General features: G+C 40.6%; 1 long non-coding RNA gene across 1 annotated transcript, besides 2 other annotated features; it reads left to right on the forward strand.

The window, feature by feature from the left end:
* Positions 478-986: an enhancer, noted in NCBI's record as "H3K4me1 hESC enhancer chr9:89763162-89763670 (GRCh37/hg19 assembly coordinates)". NCBI's record gives its function as "activates a minimal SCP1, AML or CMV promoter by ChIP-STARR-seq in primed H9 embryonic stem cells {active_cell/tissue: H9 hESC(primed)}" and the evidence as "EXISTENCE:reporter gene assay evidence [ECO:0000049][PMID:30033119]".
* LINC02872 (long intergenic non-protein coding RNA 2872) lies at positions 875-11957 on the forward strand. The gene is made up of 2 exons (NR_161226.1): positions 875-1129; positions 8804-11957. It is a non-coding gene; the product is annotated as a long intergenic non-protein coding RNA 2872 (long non-coding RNA).
* Positions 987-1494: an enhancer, noted in NCBI's record as "H3K4me1 hESC enhancer chr9:89763671-89764178 (GRCh37/hg19 assembly coordinates)". NCBI's record gives its function as "activates a minimal SCP1, AML or CMV promoter by ChIP-STARR-seq in naive H9 embryonic stem cells {active_cell/tissue: H9 hESC(naive)}" and the evidence as "EXISTENCE:reporter gene assay evidence [ECO:0000049][PMID:30033119]".
* Positions 11958-21602: the final 9645 nt, after the last annotated feature.

A 21602-nucleotide genomic window follows, 5' to 3' on the forward strand; every position in this document is an offset into this window, starting at 1 on the left:
TACAGCACACACACACTTTACTTATTCCCTGTTTGATTCCCTGTTGATAAACAATCCAATTTTTCACCATCACAAGCAATGCCACCACGTACATAGTCATATCTGACAATCCATGTCCACATGTTCCTCCCACCCAGGCACACCAGGTCCATTGCCACCACACTGAAATGTCAGGCAGCTTGACAATCAAGTCACGTGGTGCCTGGGTCTCAGTTCTCCGCGTTCTGGAACTCGGTGGAGCAGGGCTCTTAGGGTCTTGTGGCCACCTCACCGGGTCAGACTCTCCCCGAGGTGGGAGGACAAGCTAATAGGAGAAACAGGGCCATTTCTTCACCCAACCACTCAGGCTGCCAGACTCATTTTCAGATTCAAATGCAAAATTTCATTATTTCCCCTCAAACCTAAAACCCCACCTAAAGGCGGTTGAGTATTTGGCATTCCCTCTACATTGATCCTGGCTGAGGAGGGCCCGGGGGACTCAGGTCTGAGGAGGACACGTTTTCCAAGGCGGCCCTCCTTCCAGTGCTGCCAGGAGAGGGAAAAGGCACTCAGGGAGTTTTTGCTGGAGATAAGAGCAATTTTTGAAAAAAAGGTAGTAAGGCAGGAGGTGGAGTCTGCCACGGGTCTCTTTCAAACTTGCTACTTTCCATCCCGTTAATACAATCCCGGCCCTGTTTCCCGGCCCCGCGGCCATTGCAGAGTCATGAAGTCATCGCAGCTGCGCCTGCAGCCAGGCGGGAACGGGAACGGGAACTGGCTGGCCGCGGTCCCTTCTGTCCCCCGCCAGCCGGAAATGTCCGCGCGCTGAAAAGCAGACGCTGCCTGCCCGGGGAACGGCGAGAGAGAGCGAGAAAAAAAAAAGCCTGAAGGCGGCGCGGCAGCCAGCGAGAGGGGAGAAACAGATTCACACCCAGGGGCCTCCGGGCAGGGCCCACGGGACTCAGGCCGTGTCCCGCTTGGAATGTGGAGCAGGCGCGGCCTCGGCGTCAGCAGAGCTCCCCTGCATCTCCTCCTGGGGGTGTGGGGGCCGAGTGGGAGAACTGGCGGACAGAGGAAAGGGGCCTCGCTCGCAAGGCCCGGGCGGGGAGGCCTGGCCTCCTGCTCAGTCGGTGCAAATGGAAAAAGAGACGTAAGTGCCAAGTCCCAAAAGAGCAAGTCATGGGCCCCGGCTTTACAATCTGTTTCATGAGTTATTCCTCCAAGCATGCCTGGCAGTCGAGTTTCTTCATTAGTGCTGCAGCAAGCAGATGGGAACATGAGCGCCCGAGAGCATGGAGGCCTCGCAGGCAAGCAGGTGGCAGCCCCCAACATTCTGGGCAGGCTCTGGGGTCGAGGGAGCACGTTCTGATGCTTAAATAGCCTCACCTTTTATCCTGACTGGGGTAGTCCTGTGTGGTGGTTTGGTGCCCGTTTTACACCTAGACCCTCTCTCTACCCCTTGACTCGCTCTCTACCCCTTCATCCATAAGTAATGTCTGCCTCCGCCTGATCCCAGGCTGCCTTTCTGGGGTTCCAGAGACGCTGGTTGTGATGAGCAGCAAAGGGCCTCACTGTCTAAGTCGCCCAGCAGTTCCCTTGTCCTCGGGAAGGCTGCATCTTAATGGAGACCAGGAAAGGTAATGCAGGGATGGAGTCTGGATGAAGACCTGCCAAGTTGCGAGGAAGGTGGAATGGCATAGACACGGCGTTCCAAGCAGCCAGGGTTAGCCAGTCAGCTTTCCCAGTGATAGAAACCTTGTAGGCACTTTATCCTGTGACCCCAACTGTCCTCCTCAGGTGTCAACTTCCTTTCCATTACCATTAACTCCTCTTATTCCAACCACAGCTGTTGTCAACCCTCTCAAACCTCTGAAAAACAGGATAAAAGCCCCAGTGGGTATCAAAATCTCTGCCTTGAAATCCTTTTGAAACAAAGATTGTTATTGAGGGAGGTTTTCAGAATGAAGAGGAGGCTGCTGCCGTCTGAATGTGATGGTATTATTAGGAGGTGGGGCCTTTGGGAAATGATCAGGGCATGAAAGTCCTCATGAGTGGGATCAGTGCCCTTATAAAAAAGGCCCCAGAGAGCTGCCTTGCCCTTCCCACCATATGAGGACACAGGGAAAAGGCACCTTCTATACAAACCAGGAAACAGACCCTCACCAGATGCTGAATCTGCTGGTGCCTTGCTCTTGAGCTTCCCAGCCCCCAGAACTGTGGGAACAAACATCTGTTGCTTATTAGCCACCCAGTGTATGGTATCCTGTTAGAGCAGCCTCAGATGACTAAGGCGGCAACTTTCCATCCCCATGTCTGCAGGCCTCAGCCCCCCTCCCACGAGCATTCTCTTCCTTCTTCATGAACATGGGATTTTGTCGGTCCCCCATAGTCCCCAATCCCTCTAGCACTTTGGTTTCATAATGAAAGACATAAGAGGAAAGAAAGATCGCAGAGAAGCAGCACATGGAAACCATCCTGTCTGGAGCAGAGGAGCGAAGAGAGAGGACAGTCTGGGGTAAGATGTTGCTGAGGAAACCCAATTGGGCTGAGGAGTGGCTGGGCTCACCATCTTCCCTTCTTCTGTCTCCCCCTCCGTGGGACAGTGCTGCTCCCCGTGTCCAAGGTCAGGGACAGGGGACAGGGTGGGATTGCCACTTGGGCAGTGTCAAAAAGAAAATAGAAATTCCTGAGGAATGGCTGAGATTGACATGAAAGACAGCCCTCAAGTGGCCCCCACACATCCCTTTTGGGAACCTTTCCTCTCTTTTACCTGAAGTACCTTCATAAATGAGTGCCTGCTTAATTTGTTTTTTAAAAACGGAGTGAAAAACAGGCAATGTTTATGTCTCAAAGAAGCGTTTCTGATGAAAGCACAATAAATGCAGTTTTGCAGTACCATGCAAAGCAATAAACATGGAGTAGCTTCATACTGTGAGTTTAGGTGTGAAAAACTGTAAATACTCGTTAACAAAATCACCCAACCAAAATCACACGAAAAAAGTGAGCTGTATAACTGCGTATTGGCTATGACCTGGGTGTTTGTATAATCTATCATCCAAACAAGAAGCTGTAGGCACAAATCAAACCATCTAGAACACAGGTCCCACTGGCTACAGCTAAACTTGTCAGAGGTTACATCAGTTGTCAGTGTTGTGATGTATAGTAGCCAGCAGTGAACTCCATGGAAGTAATAATGAAAGGTGAACAGCAAGAACACAGCTGTATCATCATAAAGTCAGCGTTGTGGCTCAGACACAATAAAGCACACCTCTGCTCATTCTCCTCCACAAGCTACTGACAAAACACCGAGGACAACAGGAAACAAATGGCAATATGTGGATTTCACAAAAGAGGAAACCCCACTTCCAGTGACATTGCTTCCTGTCATCTGTTCCTCCTCTAAGAGCAGAAAGCCATCATTCTTCGTCTCCAAATTTTATTTTGGAGGTCATGACACATGGGTTTCCTTGGATCTTTGAAATTTACTTGAAACTTAAGAAGAACAGGCTAGACTGTTTTGTGCATCATGATCACAATGATCAATGATCCTAGGCATTGGGAGAACCCTACTCTTGCCCCCAACAGTTCTGGAAGAGACATCACATCTGCTCTCAAGACAAATCCACAGTACAAGATAGGACATGCTGTCTTTCCATGAGACCATGAGTTCCTCAAAGGCAGTGAACATGTTCTAATTTTATCCACTTTCTTTTCAATTTGAGGATGATGCATGCTTCAGGATAGGAACTGAAATACTAGTTCCCTTCTCATTCCTAAAAATGTATACCCACCCATCTTCCACGAGCTCCTGGAAGTTGAGTGGGTCTACATTTTAAACAAATTGCTTACTGGGAATTCATAGGCGCTGTGGTGATTCAGGTAATGGAAGGAAGCCCATGCATAGGAAGGCAGGAGTTAGAGGCAAGATAGAAGCAAGAAAGAGTCAAGAGCGCATCAGGCCCTCTGACCTTTGCCCTTGGCCATCTGCAGCATAGGAGGATGCCCCTTGTGCCAGGTGGCTCTCAGAATCTGGGGACTGTAAGAGCCAGGATCAGCACCCGTCAGTCACATGCTGAGCCCAGCACTGACAATGAACGTGTTCTGTCTATGACTCAAGATATACACTCCATCTTCTTGAACCTTAAAAATATTACATTGAGTTCCTCAGGAAACAGCATTTAGAAATGCAAGCATTTTCATCTCATCGTTTATCTTTAAGACAAGGTTCTGGAGCCTCCTAGGAACTCATTTAAGGGTGCTGAAAAAGGAGTGGGTGAGGCTTTAGTTTGCTTAATCTCAATATTTGAAGTGTATAACATTATATTTGAACTAAAGTTTAATTTGCTAAAAAACGCAAATTGTTTCTCTATTCTGTAGAATATAATTGATTTGTAATGCCTCCTACATGACAAGTGGGAATACAGACTGTGGTTTGCTCTCAAGATGTGTATAGGGTAGTGGGGTAAGAATATGTATATATCCAGATTGTTACAGTCTAAGGCAGATATGGGAAAGCCCTGCTTTGAGTTCTCACAATCTAGAGCCTTCCCCAGTCGCTGAGGGGTGATAAACAAATATCAAGGCATTGTCCATTGTTGTCTGGGAACTAACCTTTTGTCTCTGTCATATAACGCTGAGTTTCTGAGGGTCCCAGTGTGCGTCAGGGGCAGGAGAAACAGTAGGAAGCTCTGTCTGGCTTCTTGCTTCATCAGACAGGACCCGGGCGTTTTTGCCTTATTTAGAAATATACTTGTTTTATTATGACACCGACCGTTTGTTAGCACAGAGAGAGACAGAGAGGCTCACAATGTTTGAGTCCCTTATCTCGCATTGTTTATGTTCTTAAAATAATTTAATTAACTTAATAAACAAAAGCATTTTCAATTCATAAACAAAGAGAGCTCAGAAAAATTGAATGTTCCAAAAGGCAAAATGAATAGAAAAGTCACATCATCCCAAGTCATTCTCTCACCCTCTGTCTTGCACATTCCTGCAAGCCCTGTCCCTAAGAACCAATGGGACTTCTAAAAACTGTCTTCATTTCCTCATTTTGTAAAGATTTTAGTGGGATCTTGGAAGGCTTCTAGACAGATCAATATTAAAACTGGTTCTAAATGCCATGGCTATGTCTACCTTCTGAAATTACTCTAAAAAGATAAAGTGAAAAGGACAAATGATTTGGAATTTACAAAGCCGTTTTAAATGTATAGATAGATTCAGGTTTGGTTTTGTTGTTGTTGTTGTTGTTGTTGTTTGTTTGTTTGAGATGGAGTCTCCCTCTGTCACCCAGGCTGGAGTGCGGTAGCATGATCTCAGCTCACTGCAGCCTCCGCCTCCTGGGTTCAAGCTACCCTTCTGCCCCAGCCTCCAGAGTAGCTGGGATTACAGGCGTGCGCTACCATCCCCGGCTAATTGTTTTATATTTTTTAGTACAGACAGGGTTTCACCATATTGGCCAGGCTGATCTTGAACTTCTGACCGCAAGTGATCCACCCATCTTGGCCTCTCAAAGTGCTGGGATTACAGGGATGAGCCACTGCGCCCAGTCTGATTCAGTTTTTAAAGAAGGAAGAGTTTAAAACTCTAAGGCTGAAGGATGATTTCTGAAAGAGCCAAAGGAATGAAGGGGTTATCTCATTCTGGGTTTAATGCCATCAACACAAGCAAGCAGACTACATAATTTTAATCTTATACTTTTATTAATTTTTGAGATATTTTATTATAAACTTTTTAACCCATAAATGATTCGGAACAGTGTAAAAATACTTATACTCATGACCTCTGAAGTGCACTGTAATCTCTGCACTTCAATAACACAAATGCAGTTTCTGAATTATGAGTGTAAATGTACATGGATGGAATATAAATTATTATGGGGACAAATGTGCTATCTACAAGTAGTTATGTATTTTATACAGTTAATATTAGCTAACTTGGTTTAAACATTAATTACATGTTAGGCACATACTAAGAAATTCAAGTGTATTATCTCTTAATCCTCCAAGTGTATTATCTCTTAATCCTCCATGAACCCATGAGGTAGACACAATTGTTTCTTACATTTTACAGATGAGGAAACTGAGGTTTGGAGTTTGCCCAACAAACATAGCTAGAAAGTGATAGAGCCAGCCTCGAACCCAGCCTCTCTGACACTGTCCTGTGGGATGGTGAAGAGACGGCATGGAGATATGATTAGTTGTAATATTATTACAGCAATGATTATTTTAAAAAGCAGGTGATTTGTCATTGTTTTTGACATGTCTCAAATTTTTCCTGATAAACCCTCTCATCTATGTCAGTCATAGTTCAATCAGAAGCAGACGCACTAGGAGGTAATACATGTTTTATGTATGCATGTCAAACACACAGACACACACTTATACACACATATACATATATACCTATGTGTGTGTGTGTGTGTATCTTTGTTACAGGGATTTGTACCTTACAAAGTTGTGGGTTCTTGCTAAGCAATCTCTGTAAGGACATTGTCCACAAGGCAGGCAGTGGGGAAGCAAGGACAAGATGGAGCCCACGGGCACAAGCTGGAACCCATGAGGATGGACTGAGACTCATGCCAATTCTTGCTGCCTCTGACTTTGATGGTGTGGGTGTCCTGCAGGAAAAGCTTGTGCCCTTTATCACAGAGCTGGCCCAGGAGCCAAGAGGCCAAAGCAGGACAGCAGGGGCCTGCTGTCCCACACCAGCAACAAGCAGCATATGTGTGAGCTACAAAAAAGGCTGCTGCTTCACCTCCAACCTTCACATGTCCCATAGGAGGCTCTTTTGTGGCTCACTCTAACCAGAAACATGCAGGGGAGGAAATTCTGGGAAATGTAGTTCTGTCTAGGCAAGTTGACACATTGCAAAGCTACCACACCAAAGTGCACCAAAGGTACAAAGATGGATGGGATATGGCTCCTGCCTTCAAGGGGCTAATCATCTAGGGGTGTGAAGGGAAAGAGAAACATGAATGTATAATATCAACACAAATATTATATTATAACAAGTATTATGATAAGTGCACTAAGGGTGCAACAGAAGCCCACAAAAGTGGCTCACCCTACCCAAGCTGGGATTCCAGGAGAGCTTCCTGGAGGATGTGGTGTCTAAGTGGCCTTAAAGGATGAAGTAGAAGTTGACTAAGAAAAGAAGGTTTAGTAAGGATATTAAGGTGGGTGGCGAGAGGGAATAACCATTAAGGTCTATGGCAGAGGCAGGATAGAGAGATGTATAAGCAATAAATGTGGAGGGCTGGGAGTGGAAGGAAAAGATGTTGGAGAAGTCAGTGTTGCAAACTCTAGAAAGTCTATGCATTGTACTACAGGGAGCTTGGACTTCATGTCCCAGTGATTGGTGAGCAATTCAGGAGTTAGACACATGAAAATGATATGGTCATTGAGGTAGATAGTCTCCAAGATATCACCTCACTGGCTTTCCTCTCTGTGCATGTGTACTGCTCACTGCATTAAAAGGTAGGCTTTAATTTTTCTCTTCTTGAGTTTAGGCTGGCCTAAGCAACTGCTTGGCTTAGGGAAGACAACAGAAGTGACATTCTAAGAAGAAGTCTTAAGTAGTCCTGCAGCTTCTGCCTAGTTCTCTCAGAATACTAGCTCCTGGACCATGACATCTCCTCTTAGAAGCAAACTGCCATGCGGTCAGAGTCTAAACCCCATGGAGATGCCACATGTAGGTGCTCTGGTCAGTCACCCCAGCTGAGCTCCCAGCCAAAACTATCTTGTGCATTGCTATCATGAACATCCAGCCAAGTCAGGCCTTTAGATGACTCCATTCCAAGCCACCATCTGAATGCAACTGCATGAAATACCCCAACTGAGGATTGCCCCTTAACAACCCACAGAATTGGAGATATAATCATAAATTATCTTAGACTTCCAAGTTTTCATGTGGATTGTTACACAGCAATAGATAACCCAAATTGCCATGTTTATGTTTTGGGTGTTTTAGGGGGAAGGAATGGAGGAGGGAAGACACTTTAAGTGAAGCTTACTGACTTAAAAAAAGATAAAATGAAAGTAGGAAAACTTTGTAGGAATTCATTGCTATAACCAAAAGAGAAGGTATGAGAACCTGAGCCTGAGAGTACTAGTTGGGGTGAGAAGAAAAGCTGGATTCTAGAAACAGGAAATAAAATTAATAGGCTTTATGATAAGTGAAGGGCAAAGGAGAGAGGAGGAGTCGAAAATGTTTTGTGTGTTTCCCCTGTACGACTGGGTGGAAGCTAGCTATCTCAATCACAAAGACCCAGAACACAGCAGAAGGATCAGGTGGCATAGAGGAGGGAATATTATGAGTTCTATGAGGTTTCTAAGTGTATGGTTAATTTTGTGTGTCAACTTGACTGGGCTATGGGATGCCCAGATCACTGGTAAAACTTTATTTCTGGATGTGTCTGTGCTTGTGTCTCAGAAGAGATTAGCATTTGAATCAGAAAACTGCACAAAGAAGATCCACCCTCACCAATGTGTGTGGGCATTGTCCAATTATTTGAGTACCTAATAGAACAAAAAAGCAGAAGAAGAGCAAATTCTCTCTCTCTCTCTGCTTGAGCTGAAACATTCATCTTCTCCTACCCTCAGATATCAGCACTCCTGGTTCTCAGGTTTTTGGACTTAGACTGGAACTTTTACCACTAGCCTCCTAATTTGCTGGCCTTTGGACTTAGACTGAATTACATCATTGGTTTCCCTGGTTCTCCAGTCTGCAGACAGCAGATCATCTGTTGAACTTTCAACTGCCATCAGCACATGAGCTAGTTCCTATAATAAATTTATTTTTATCGATATACCTATCTATCCTATAGGTTCTGTTTCTCCGGAAAACCCTGACTAATACAGTAGAGGATATCCAGATTGACAACTTCAGGAGAAAGTCTGATTTAGGAGTCGGAAGCCCAGATTGGAAAAACCTCTTGATAGATGTCACTCGGGAAGACCATGAAAACAGCCAAAATAATTCAAAGAGAAGATGCAAAGTGAACTGTGAAACAGACCAAAGATGAATCTCTTTGGTAAATCCCCTGCCTAAATCCCCTGCCATGGAATAGCTGCCTAAACTTGGGCAAATAACTTGACATTTCTCAGTTTCCACATTCCAAAAATGGATTTTTATGAGAATTAAATGTTATGATGCATTCCAGCTACCTGTCCTAGAACCTGGCATAAGAGCTCAGTACATGCTGGGGAGGGTTATCATCATCGTCATCATCATCTTATTAACATTCATGTTGAAGGGATGATGGGCTGCTGAGAAGTTCATGAAGAAGGTGAAAAACTATTACAGAGGTGGGAGGAAAAAGAGAGGACTATCACAGAAGCAGAAGAGCTGAGAGTATTGAGAAAGGGTGACGGGTTAGGGGGACTAGCAAGTACCCTCTGGCGTTGGCAATATTCAGTTTGTTGAAGGCCTTGATGAACTTTAATGAAGTGGTGAGAGTTAAACAAAGCTGAGATAGGATATGAATCTCAGGGAGGATATGAGGACTCATTGATTACCATTCCAAGAAACTTGTCTGAAAAGGAAAGAAGAGATGGTGGTAATCAGAGCAGAGTGGCAGGATGCAGGGAGTTTTTATTTATTTATTTGTTCTTGTTGCTGACATTGTTTTCATACTATTTTTTGTTTGTTAAAGAGGGAGAGTTGTGAGTATAAAATAACCTATAAATAGGGAAAACCAGGAACAGATTCATGTGAAAGCCCTTGACTGAGAACAGAATTAATTACCCGTGCAGAGGTAGTCTTCAAGCCTTGGCAGGTAAGCAACTGTCTGAGACACAGCTGGCTCGGGAACAGGGCCTTTCTTTGGCTGGCAGGCTTGAGGCAGCATAATTTGGAAGCGGATATGAGAAAGGGCATAATAATGTGAAATTTGACTGCCTAGTGGGGGAGAAACTTTGAATATTATGAGGCGGTTATGAAAGTATTTCCTTCTTATGGCTTCAATGGCACTGCCTCTGAGCATTAGTGTTTGTCCTCAGGAGGTAAGTGTGGGGACTGTATCAGCAGTTACTACCTAGATAAGCACGGTGTATAGGGGTAACATGGTTTATAGAGCATGCAAGCCTTCACCTCTTTGCTAGATGAGATATGGAACCTAAATTCGGAGACCACGTGACCCCTGAGGCATGGGGAGGTGGGGTCAGAAAGCGTTACTGGCCATGATCCAGACCCAGGCGTGGAGAAACGACCTACTGGGGTTTTCAGGGAGCAGGAAGGTGGGGCAGGTACAGAGTATATTCTGGGGGACAGTTTCATAAAAAGTGAGTAGATCTCCACAACTTAGTTTCTAGACTAAATGGACTAAGCATGTTCCGCCCTATTCTTCCTACTAACAATAACAAAAAGCTCTGGACAAAATTTATAAAGCAACCCACAGAAGACTCCGAAGTTGGAAAAAGAAATAAAAACTGGCGATTTCCTCCATACTCAAGGCATCATGTAGCAGGGAGTGCCTTGGGTGTTGTTTATGTGTTTGTTTTCTTTTGTTCATTAATTTTTTTCTCCCGTGTATGGCAGTGTGGGCTCTAGCAATGCCTACCACCCGGAAACACAGATGGGTACAAATTTAAAAACCCCAAGAAAACTCTTTTTAGCCAAATGACCAGTGTTTCCAGCAGAGCAAAAACATTTTGACCACATCTGCCCTTTTGTGCTGGCTAACCCCTTCCCCTGCCACCATGTGCTGCTGGGGGGACATTGTGGATGAAGCCCACTCATTTATTCCTCCTCCTGCAGTAATGTGACCATACCCTTCCCACTCCTAACTAGAGGCTGGGGGAGGACTATGTGGGGGAGAGAACTGGAGAAAGCAATTTTCTAAATTTGTGTATGAAATCCTGGTTAGAACTCTGAGTGCCCCATGCACAAAACAGACAAGAAACAACACAGCAAAAAGATTCAAGGGTCAGAAAAACTGAACACTGGTCTGAAACACTGCCCGGGTTTCAGATTGGCATCAGGGTAGCACCCAAGTGGGGCAGATTGAAATAGCACTGTAAAGGCTTTGAAAATGAAATGACTTTTGAGCCACAGCTCACAAAGTGAACCGGAACAAGCATTCTGAACTTAAACAGGTCAAGTGCCTGCTAAAATCAAAGACTGAAATGGGAACCAGAATAATATAACATACTACTGAAAATGTCTAGGATGCAATCCAAAATCTCATCACACTGAAAACCATAAAAATCTCAACTTGAAAGAGAAAAGGCAATTGTAAGCATTGAGATTACACAGATGTTGAAACTATCCAGCAAGAATCATAAAGCAGCTATTATACAAATGCCCTGATTTTAAAGCAAGTATGAATGCTCGAAACAAATGACAAAGTGGAAAGTCACAGCAGAGAAATAGAAAATGTAAGGAAGAACCAAATGGAAATTTTAAAACTGAAAAATACAATAACCAGTTTTTAAAAATTACTAGATTCAGAGGGAAAGACCAACAACTCAGAAAAAATGGGCAAAGGATATGAAGAGTTTACGGAAAAGGAAATGTAGATAACTCTTACCCATATAAAAATATGTTCAGCCTCACTCATATAAGAAAAATCAAAATTGAAATTACACTGAGACACTGCTTTTCACCTGTCAGAATGGCAAAACTCAAAGTGTGAATATACGCTATGAGAATGTGGAAAATTCTCATAGATTGCTTGTGGGCATCTAGAACAATTTGGTTGAATCACTAAAATCCACATGCCATTTGGCCCTGCAATTCTACTTTTAGAAATTTATCATATAGGAAACCTGCATATGAGTGAAATGACATACGTGGAGTGTTACTCCTGGCTGCATTGTTGGTAATCACAAAGAACACTAGAAAAAACTTAATGTCCATCAATAAGATGCTGATTAAATTAATTATTATACGTCATACAATGGAAAGTTAGAAAACCGTAAAAAAATGAAACCCTCTCTATAACCTGCTACCATATAATAAATAAAAGGACAGGCAATGATCTATATGTGTCTGTTTGGATATGCATTAAGAAACTTCAAAGGACAGGTAACAAAAAGTGGCTGCCCAGAGGAGAAGTGAGGGATGGGAGGGAGTCTGGACTGTAGGCCTAATAAAACCCCCAGATAAATAAAAACAAACCTACAAAGCACAGAAATAATCCTTAATGTCCAATCCCAGGGCTTTATCATAGTGGTCCCTTTATGTTTGGATGAGGTAAACCTATCCAATGTTTCAATTAACTTGGCTTATTATTAAGTCAATAATATTAAGGAACTTAATATTAGCAGGGATACTCTTTCATCTCAGGCATGTTAGATGCCTTCCATGATCTCCACGAGGAGGAAGAGCCCCTGAATCACCAGGGACACTGGTGAGGATGAAAGCATTTTGTTATGGATCCTTTTTCTTGGTGGCCTGAGCTGCTGGGGGCTTGAAGCCTGCCTCCCTCCCTGCAGGACACCCCACCCGACTGCTTTCTGCTCATCACACAGGGTGCCCTTGCATGATCACTATCCGCCCACTCCTAGGTGTCTGGTTCTGTGTGTGTGGTTTCCTACAGAACCAGACAGAAAAGTGAGTTCTGTTTTCTTCTCATCTTCCAGGCACCCAAAGCAAAACTTCACAAGCCCAGCCCTGAGCACCTGTCACATTGGAAGTGCTTCCTTCTCTGGTTCAGGAATTTGGTTTTGATTTTTGTTGGGGTTGCTCGGCCCCTATTGAAGGACAGAGTTTGAGGCTGGGGGTCTCTCCTTAGGCTTTTCCTGACCCTATGAAACAACCACAAACACCATCACTTTCCATAAGAGGATCAAGTTGCTTTTCTGAAATCACAAGGAGTCACTGATCTGCGCTGGCTTTCTCACGAGGGCACATGTGGCTGGGGCACAGCTGTTCCCATCTGTTACTTGGGCTGACACACAAGGACAGCTGTGAAGGGAGCGTGTCTCCTCCCCATCTCTGTTACAATGAGGCCTTGGTTTAGCCCAACTTCTGAATCCAGGTTATACTCCCTAATTGGCATACAAAAGCCCCAGGAATAAGGCAGAGAAGACTGGACCTTGCAAAGCTCGGCTCCAGTCATTTAAAATGAAATCAATCTCACTTCTCTCCTTTTCCCTCAGTGTCCTAAAATAATATTTGAAGTTCTGTTTAGTCTCTTTGGAGAACTGCCAGTGACTTCGAGGCATGTAGTGAAGCTGTATTTCAAGAGATGATTACACCCAGGACTTTGGAAAAGTGATTCTCACTTAGGAATAACATATGATACAGATTTAATAATCTGCCATAATACCTGTCTCCCCACTTTTTTTGTCTCAACCAAATAAGAGTAAAAAACTGATAGTGGCAAAAGGAACCTCTCTTCCATGGAAGTGATTGTTAAAGTGTTTTTTTTAATTGAATGAACTATTATCATGGCGAGTTTTGAAAGGAACCACATGCACAAGTTCTTAGATTTTCTGCTTTTGCCATTAACTATAGTAAATGTTTTCAAAAAATCTCTTTCCATCTTTTGCTAGTTGAAAAAAAAGAAAAAAATATTCTTACTGCATTGAAGTTATGAGTGAAATGAACAGTTTTTGAGAAAGAACAACAAAAAGCCCACTTGCCTGTTTTCTCCATTGTAACTACAATTATGTAATTAATTGTCAAGCTTGGTGACTCCCTTTCACAATCTGGAGAAGTGACACTCACTCTTTTTGAAAGATATGACAAACATATCTTTAATTACATAATCATTATATAGGGGCATCCTTATCAAATATTAATGAAATATAGAAAAACCCACGGTCATGTTGGACTGACTCTCCTGTAAACTAAGGATGACTGTGTTAATTCATTCTTGCATTGCTATAGAGAACTATCTGAGATTGGGTAATTTATAAAGAAAAGAGATTTAATTGGCTCATGGTTCTGCAGGCCGTACAGGAAGCATAGCTGGGGAGGCCTCAGGAAACTTACAATCATGGTGGAAGGTGAAGGAGAAGCAGGCATGTGTTACATGGCCAGGAGAAGGGGAAGAGAGAGAAGGGGGAGGTGCTACACACTTTGAAACAACCAGATCTCAAGAGAACTCACTATCATGAGAACTGCAAGGGGGAAATCCACCCCCATGATCCCATCACCTCCCAGCCAGCCCCTCCTCCAACATTGGGGATTACAATTCAACCTGAGATTCAGGTGAGGACACAAATCTAAACCATATCGGTGGCATATCCTTCCAGACCCTTTTAATGCATATGTACACATATTTATATTTACATTCAAATATATATGTAGATACAAATATTCATATGTAGATACAACTATGAATATAGAAATATATAATGTCAAGATCGTCTTTTACATACATAGAATCATGTTGTACACATTATTCCACAACTTGATTTTTAACTTAATATCCTGGTGATGTTTCTGTATCAGTACGTGTAAATTTACCTGACTACTGTGAAATATTCCATCCCTTCTATATGCCACAATTTATTAAACATTTTCCCTATATATTTAGATGGTTTCCAATATTTTTCCTATTAAAAATGATATTTCGATAGACATTCTTGCACAAAGTTCCTCAGGCACATGAGTATTTTCCTATAGTACACATCTAGACATGGAATTGTTAGGTCAAACGATCTGCATATTTTTGTTTTAAAAGATGTTGCTAAACAGTAGTTGTTATGGCTAAATATGGTGACAAACTCTATATTAGCTTAAATAATCCTCGTAATCTATGATGAGGCACTATTATTACCCCTAATTTGAAGTTGAGAAAACTGAGGTGCAGAGAGGTCCAGTAACTTGTTCAAGGTCACACAGCAGGTAACAGTGGAACCAGAATTCAACTCCTGGTATCTAGCTCCAGAATCTATGCTCTTAGCCTAACAGTTGGATGCCTCTCTCTAAAATGCAACTGTACAGATATATTATGTGCATTATAAACTATATACAAAAATTGAAATTAAAAGGGAGGCTATAAATTAGGTAACATTTTATAATACTTATTAACACTCAAAAGTTTTTCTTTCAATAAAACTATTCTTAATAGTAATATTTTAGTGAGAATAAAATAATTGAATATGTTCCCCTTTTTTAAAAAAATTGACTCTACCCTTTTTGATACAGCCATTGGAAACTTTGGTTCTAAGTTCAATTTATTGTCTGTCATAGCTGAAAATATTGCTGGGCAAAGGTAAACTCTAAGGGAAGAAGTACATCATTGGCTGTACTGTCTAAATCATAACATTCATTTTTAATCTCATTCACAAATTAAACAAAGTATTTTCCAAAAGTTTGGCTGGAAATGTTCTTTTTCCCATTTATCAATATATTTTCCTTAGAAAGTAATTAGGGCTAGGCAGGGTGGTTCATGCCTGTAATCTCAGCATTTTGAGAGGTTAAAGCAGGAGGATCGTTTGAGCTCAGGAGTTTGAGACCTTGTCTCTACAAAAAAATTTAAAAATCAGTCCACTGTGATGGTGCACACCTGTTGTTCCAGCTACTCAGGAGGCTGAAGCAGGAAGATTGCCTGAGCCCAGGAGATCAAGGCTGTAGCGAGCTATGATCACACCACCGCACTCCAGCAGAGTGGAGTGCGTGGCAGAGTGAGACTCTTTCTCTCTCAAAAAAAAAGTAATCAGAACATGTCACATTTTTTGTATTTTTAACAAATTAGATTTCAAAGTTTGGTAGCATGTTCTCAGTATGGCTGCCATTATCTCTTTCCTATATATGCACACCACTCCCCTGTTGAGATAAGAACTTTGTTCTTCCATTCGCTGGAATCTTGGCTGGTTAGTGACTGCTTTAGCCACAGAATATCGTAAAAATGATACTGCATGGCTTCTGAGACTTGATCATCAGAAGCCTTTGGCTTTTGTCTATATGTTAGTGTTCTACAGAGAAACAGACCCAATAGGATGTACAGTCATCCCTTGGTATCTGCCAGGGATTGGTTCCAGGACCCCCACAGATACCCAAATCAGTTGATGTTCAAGTCCTTTATATAAAATGGTGTAGTATTTGCATATAACCCATACGCATCCTTCTGTATACTTTAAATCATCTCTAGATAACTGATAACTAATATAATGTAATGTGATATAAATTGCTTGGGCTTTCTATAATAATATGTATTACAAAATACAGAGAAAGAGGGAAAGAGATGACTGACCAGGCCCCAGCTGCTCCAGTCATCTTAGTCCAGATACCAGACATAGAGTGAAGAGATTGTTGGATAACTTCAATCTCACTCACCATCTGACTGCGGCTGTAGAAGAGATCCCCAAATGAGAACCATCTAGACAACCTTGTCTATACGCAAAACTGTGAAAGATAAAAAGTTATTTTAAGCCACTTAGTTTTGGAGTGGTTTCTTATGTAGTGATAGTTATCTAGAACAGAATTTTACTGAAATACCACACTTGGGAGACTTTTCAACAGGTTAGAAAAGTTAATCTCATGTTTTTATTGAAGTGTGCAGATACAAGTATTTTGTATGAGTATACTCATAAAATTTTTGCAGAATCATGATAATGAAAAACATTTTCAAGCTTTCATTCCCAAAATGCTTTTTTTGTGGGCAAAAGTCTCTATTTAAAAAGCATTCTTTAAATTACTTATTTTTTAATTTTATTTCCATAGGTTTTGGGGGAATAGGTGGTGTTTGGTTACATGAGTAAGTTCTTTACTGGTGATTTGTGAGATTTTGGTGCACCCGTCACCCAAGCAGTATGCCCTATACTCAGTTTGTAGTCTTTTATCCCTCACCCTCCTCCAACTCTTTGCCTGGAGTCCCCAGAGTCCGCCGTATCATTCTTATGCCTTTGCATCCCATAGCTTAGCTCCCACTTATGAGTGAGAACATACGATGTTTGGTTTTCCATTCCTGAGTTACTCCATTTAGAATAATGGTCTCCAGTTCCATCCAGTTTGCTGCAAATGCCATTATTTTGTTCCTTTTTATGGCTGAATAGTATTCCATGTTTTATATGTCACATATCCATGTGATATATATATATATATATATCACATATCCATGTGATATATATATATATATATATATATCACAATGTCTTTATTCACTCATTGATTGATGGGCATTTGGGCTGGTTCCATATCTTTGCAATTGCAAGTTGTGCTGCTATAAACATGTGTATGCAAGCATCTTTTTCATATAATGACTTTTTTCCTCTGGGTAGATATCCAGTAGTGGGATTCCTGGGTCAAATGGTAGTTCTAGTTTCAATTCTTTAAGGAATCTCCACACTGTTTTCTATAGTGGTTGTACTAGTTTACATTCCACGAGCAGTGTAAAAGTGTTCCCTTTTCACTGCATCCTCACCAACATCTATTATTTTTTGATTTTTTGATTATGGACATAAATAAACAATTCTCAAAGGAAGATATACAAATGGCCAATAAACACAAAAAAATGTTCAGCATCACTAATAATCAGGGAAATGCAAATCTTTTAACTACTTATTGTTTAAGTGGCACTTTTCCTAATAGGAGCAGATTAAGTACAATTTTTTTCCAAAACTATCTGCTAAGTGGCATGCTACTAATCACAGTTGTCATCACAAAAAAATTAACTTTTTGTAACATTTTATTGTGAAGTAGTTGTGAGAACAGTACAAAGGGTCCTTGAATAATCTTCACATAGATTCCCCAACAGTTATCATTTTGTCGTATTTGCTTTATCAGTCTCTCTAAATATGTATGTATGTATATTATTTTTTAATGAACGATCTGAAAGTCAGGTGTAGGCACGATGCTCCTTTACATCTACATAGTTCAGTATTTGTTTCCTATGAGCTAGGGCATTGTCTTACAAAACCACAGGGCAAAACCAGGAACTTAACAATGATAGAATACTGCTATCCAATCTATGAACTTCATTCAAATTTTACCAATTATTCCAGTAATGTCCTTTTTAGCAAAAAATAAAAGTAAAAATTTTATTTAGAATCAAATTCAGAATTATGTACTGCATTTAATTGACACGACTCTTGTCTGTTTTAATTTGGGATGGTTTCTTACTCTTCCTTTGTCTCCCATGACCTTATTTTTGGAAAGTTCAAGGAATTTGAGTTCATTTCCTCAAGCTTAGAATCATTTTTGGCAACAATACCACAGAAGTGATTCTGTGTCCTTCTCAACCCATCTTATCAAGAGATAAATGAGGTCCTTTTGTTCCATTACTGATGATGTTAACTGAGATCACTTGGTTAAGGTAGTATTTGCCCTGTTTCTCTACTGTCGAATTGCTATTTACTTCTCCTTTTGTGTTTCGTAGTAGTTTTGGAGGAGATACTTTGAAACTACATCAATATTCTGTTCCTCATGAAATGTTCACCCAGCGTTTTAACATCTACTGATGATTATTACTCTGATGATTGCCAAATGGTAGATCAGTTGTTCTTGAGAATTTAAAATTTTGTAAAATCAAAATGTATAATCAAGTTTTAATTTTGATCATTCCTTTAAATACTTTATGTGAGATAATTAGTGAACTATTTTTTATTAAAGAAGTAATTTACTGTTAAAAATATATCTTTTCCTATAACATTTTCTGCAATCGTTCACAACATATTAGTATTCCTAAATTTTATTTTTGAAATAATACTAAGGAATACCAAAGCTAGAGCATGTTAGATATTTGTCCTTTCTATCTGCAGTGCAAACCTCCCACATGACATAATTTATTTCCTAAGGGATGCTTCTCCATACCTTTGACAATATTTTCTAGTCATCTTTTAATAATATTTGCTACCAAAGAAATGTATATGTTTGTTTCAAAATTGTTCTTGTGCAGTAATTCAGCTATATTTTTTACCATACAGTGAAAAACAAATATATACTTATATCTTCACTTATTAAATTAAAAAAATTAAGAGACTTTTAAATAATTATTATTAAGTTTAGAAAATTTTGGAAAATAATGTAGTGAGGTGACATTAATTTGAATAGCTCTAAATATTTCTACAGAGATTTGTCTTCATGTTCTGAATTATTAGTTATTAAATGTATTATTTGTTTTTTTGGTATCAGTAGGCTCATTAATGGTCTTATTAGTAACAAGATTCTTTACCGTGAAATTACTTGCTAACATTACTGCATGTAAATCTAATTTTCAGCAATATTCCTGATAATTTTCCTGTTTTTGACCACTTTTTGTAAGATCTGGTTAGATTTGTGGAGTTTTCCTTATATAGAGAGTCAATTTTCATTATTTGTGATAGTTATATTCTATAAAGTCACCACAATGAATTAGCAAATACTGAACCATTGTTCTTAGGGGAAATACAAGGTTAGGTGCCTGTGAACATTTGGTCACAATATTTTCATCACCCAATCATTACATAGCCTTATTTAATGTGCTTCTGTTTAAAGACATCTTATTTAATACACTTAGGGCCAATAGCACTATAAGTCATGTCTGAAGGAAGCTCCTCTAACACAAATTGCCTCCTGAAGGCACACCACAGCCTTCTTGCACTTAGGAACAACAGACAGCACTTCAGCATGACTCTTCAGTGACATGATCAATAAAAAGCACAAAAACGTGAAAAACATGGCACTAAATAGTCCCTGAAAAGGACGCTTGCTTACAATACGAGAACTGAAGCAAGAGGGCAGAGCGTCACCTTGTGTGACTTCAGTTAGCAACATGCAAGTCCGTTGATGCAACTGTTTCACTGCTGTGCCCATGTCTGTGAATTACCACAAAAGTGCTGTGAGTATTGATTGACATGGGGATTACAAATAAATTTCAGTGAGTAGACAAATTCACAAATATGGAATTTATGAATAATGAGGGTTGACAGTCTTTATAGATCAAAACACTCAAACTAGGACTAGAAAAAGTGTTATGTCTTCCTTTTCTTCTAGTAGCTTCTTGTGCTTTTATTATTAGTCTTATCTCCTGTCCGCAGTGTCTTCGCATAAATCTGTTGAGCTAACTGTCTCCATCTTCGGAGGATTTGTTTAGTTAAAACTAGATAGTAGATCCCAGCATTCTGCCTAACTAGATATCTATAAAAATGTGAGCTACAGTATAGCCATCATCTAGATAGAATGGGTGGAGGCGCCACAGTGAATCATTTTTCCTCCCTCAGAATGCCTCACATACACTGCACCACACACAACCTCTGACAAATAGATCACATGAATCAGCAGTGTTGATCCACATAGTAAATATTATAAAGCTAATTTCTTTATTAATTTATTGATGAACATAAATTTATGTAGAGACTTTGAGAGTTGAACAGGAAGATGACAAGTGTGGATGTTTCCTCCTGATATCTTTGATGCCAAGAACCTAACCCAAGAGAGGGAACCGAAGCCCATGTGGATTGATGCAGTAACAGGGAACAAATTTGTCCATCAACCTGAAGCAGCTAAACACTAATCAAAACATAAGCAAAAGCTGTTTTCTACACAATCAGACAACAAAGGGCAGTGATCTAAGAGATGGTAAACAAACGTGGTAAGTTCCATAATGGCCCCAGCTTATTCCCTATGGAGAGTTTCCAAGTCATGGTGCATGGAGAGGAAACCCAGGTGGAGCCCAGCAATGTTGCTGAGTCTGAAGGCCTCCTGAGGTAGGCGTCCAGGGAGGCCAAGACTTCGAAAGTTCACAGAAAAAAATAACAGTAAGGAGAGAACTTCACAAAGAGCTCCAAAGAACTGTGAATAGTCCCTCTCAAATCTTCTGCTCAATACTGGTCAGTACATGTATACAAAGAAACTATCCAAGGCTAGGGAAATAACTCAGGTATCAGAGGGAACCATCCCTAGACCTCTCATAGACTGGGAATGATTTCTGTTTCCAGTAGCCAGGGTGAAAAACCTCATAAGTCACAGAGCGTTGTGGAAAGTATTCAGAAGGGTGTTACCTCAGTAGTGGGGCAAAATTAGCCATGGACAACATACTGGTATGGTTTCGCTTAACAAAGATGAAAACAAGACCGAAAAGGATCAAGCTGCTTTTATACCTAATTGCATCCCAGAATAAAGCTCAAGAATATTTATAAGAACACAGAAATTTCCAGGACCCAACAAGGTACAATTTGCAATGTCTGATGTCCAATAAAAAGTTACCAAGCATGCCAAGAAACATGAAATTACAACATATAATCAGGAGAAAAAAAATAGTCAATCAAAATTGACTCAGAAATGAGACAAACAATAGAATTTATAGACAAGAATATTAAAGCAGTAATTATAACAGTATTTTATATGTTCAAGAACTAGGCAAAAATTGAAAAATTTAAATATAGACATGGAAAATATAATAAAGACTCAGTTAAATATCTAGAGATGAAAACTACAACGCCTGAGATGAAAAATACACAGGTTGAAATTAACATCAGATTAGATATTGCAGAAGAAAAGATTAGTAAACTTGAAACTATCCAAAATAAAACACAAAGAAAAAACTACTAAAAAAAGTAACAGGGTGTCAGTGAGCTAAGGAAAAAGTTCGACTCTTCTAATCCATATGTAATTGGAGCCCCTGAAAAAGAAGTTGGACAGAAAAAAATATTTGAAGAAATGAAGGCTAAAAATATTTTGAATTTAATGAAGAATATAAACCCACAAATCTAAGAAGTTCGATGTACTACAAACACAGAAAACATAAAGAA

The sequence above is a fragment of the Homo sapiens genome, chromosome 9 (assembly GCF_000001405.40).
Source record: "Homo sapiens chromosome 9, GRCh38.p14 Primary Assembly".
In the NCBI taxonomy this organism is placed as follows: domain Eukaryota; kingdom Metazoa; phylum Chordata; class Mammalia; order Primates; family Hominidae; genus Homo; species Homo sapiens.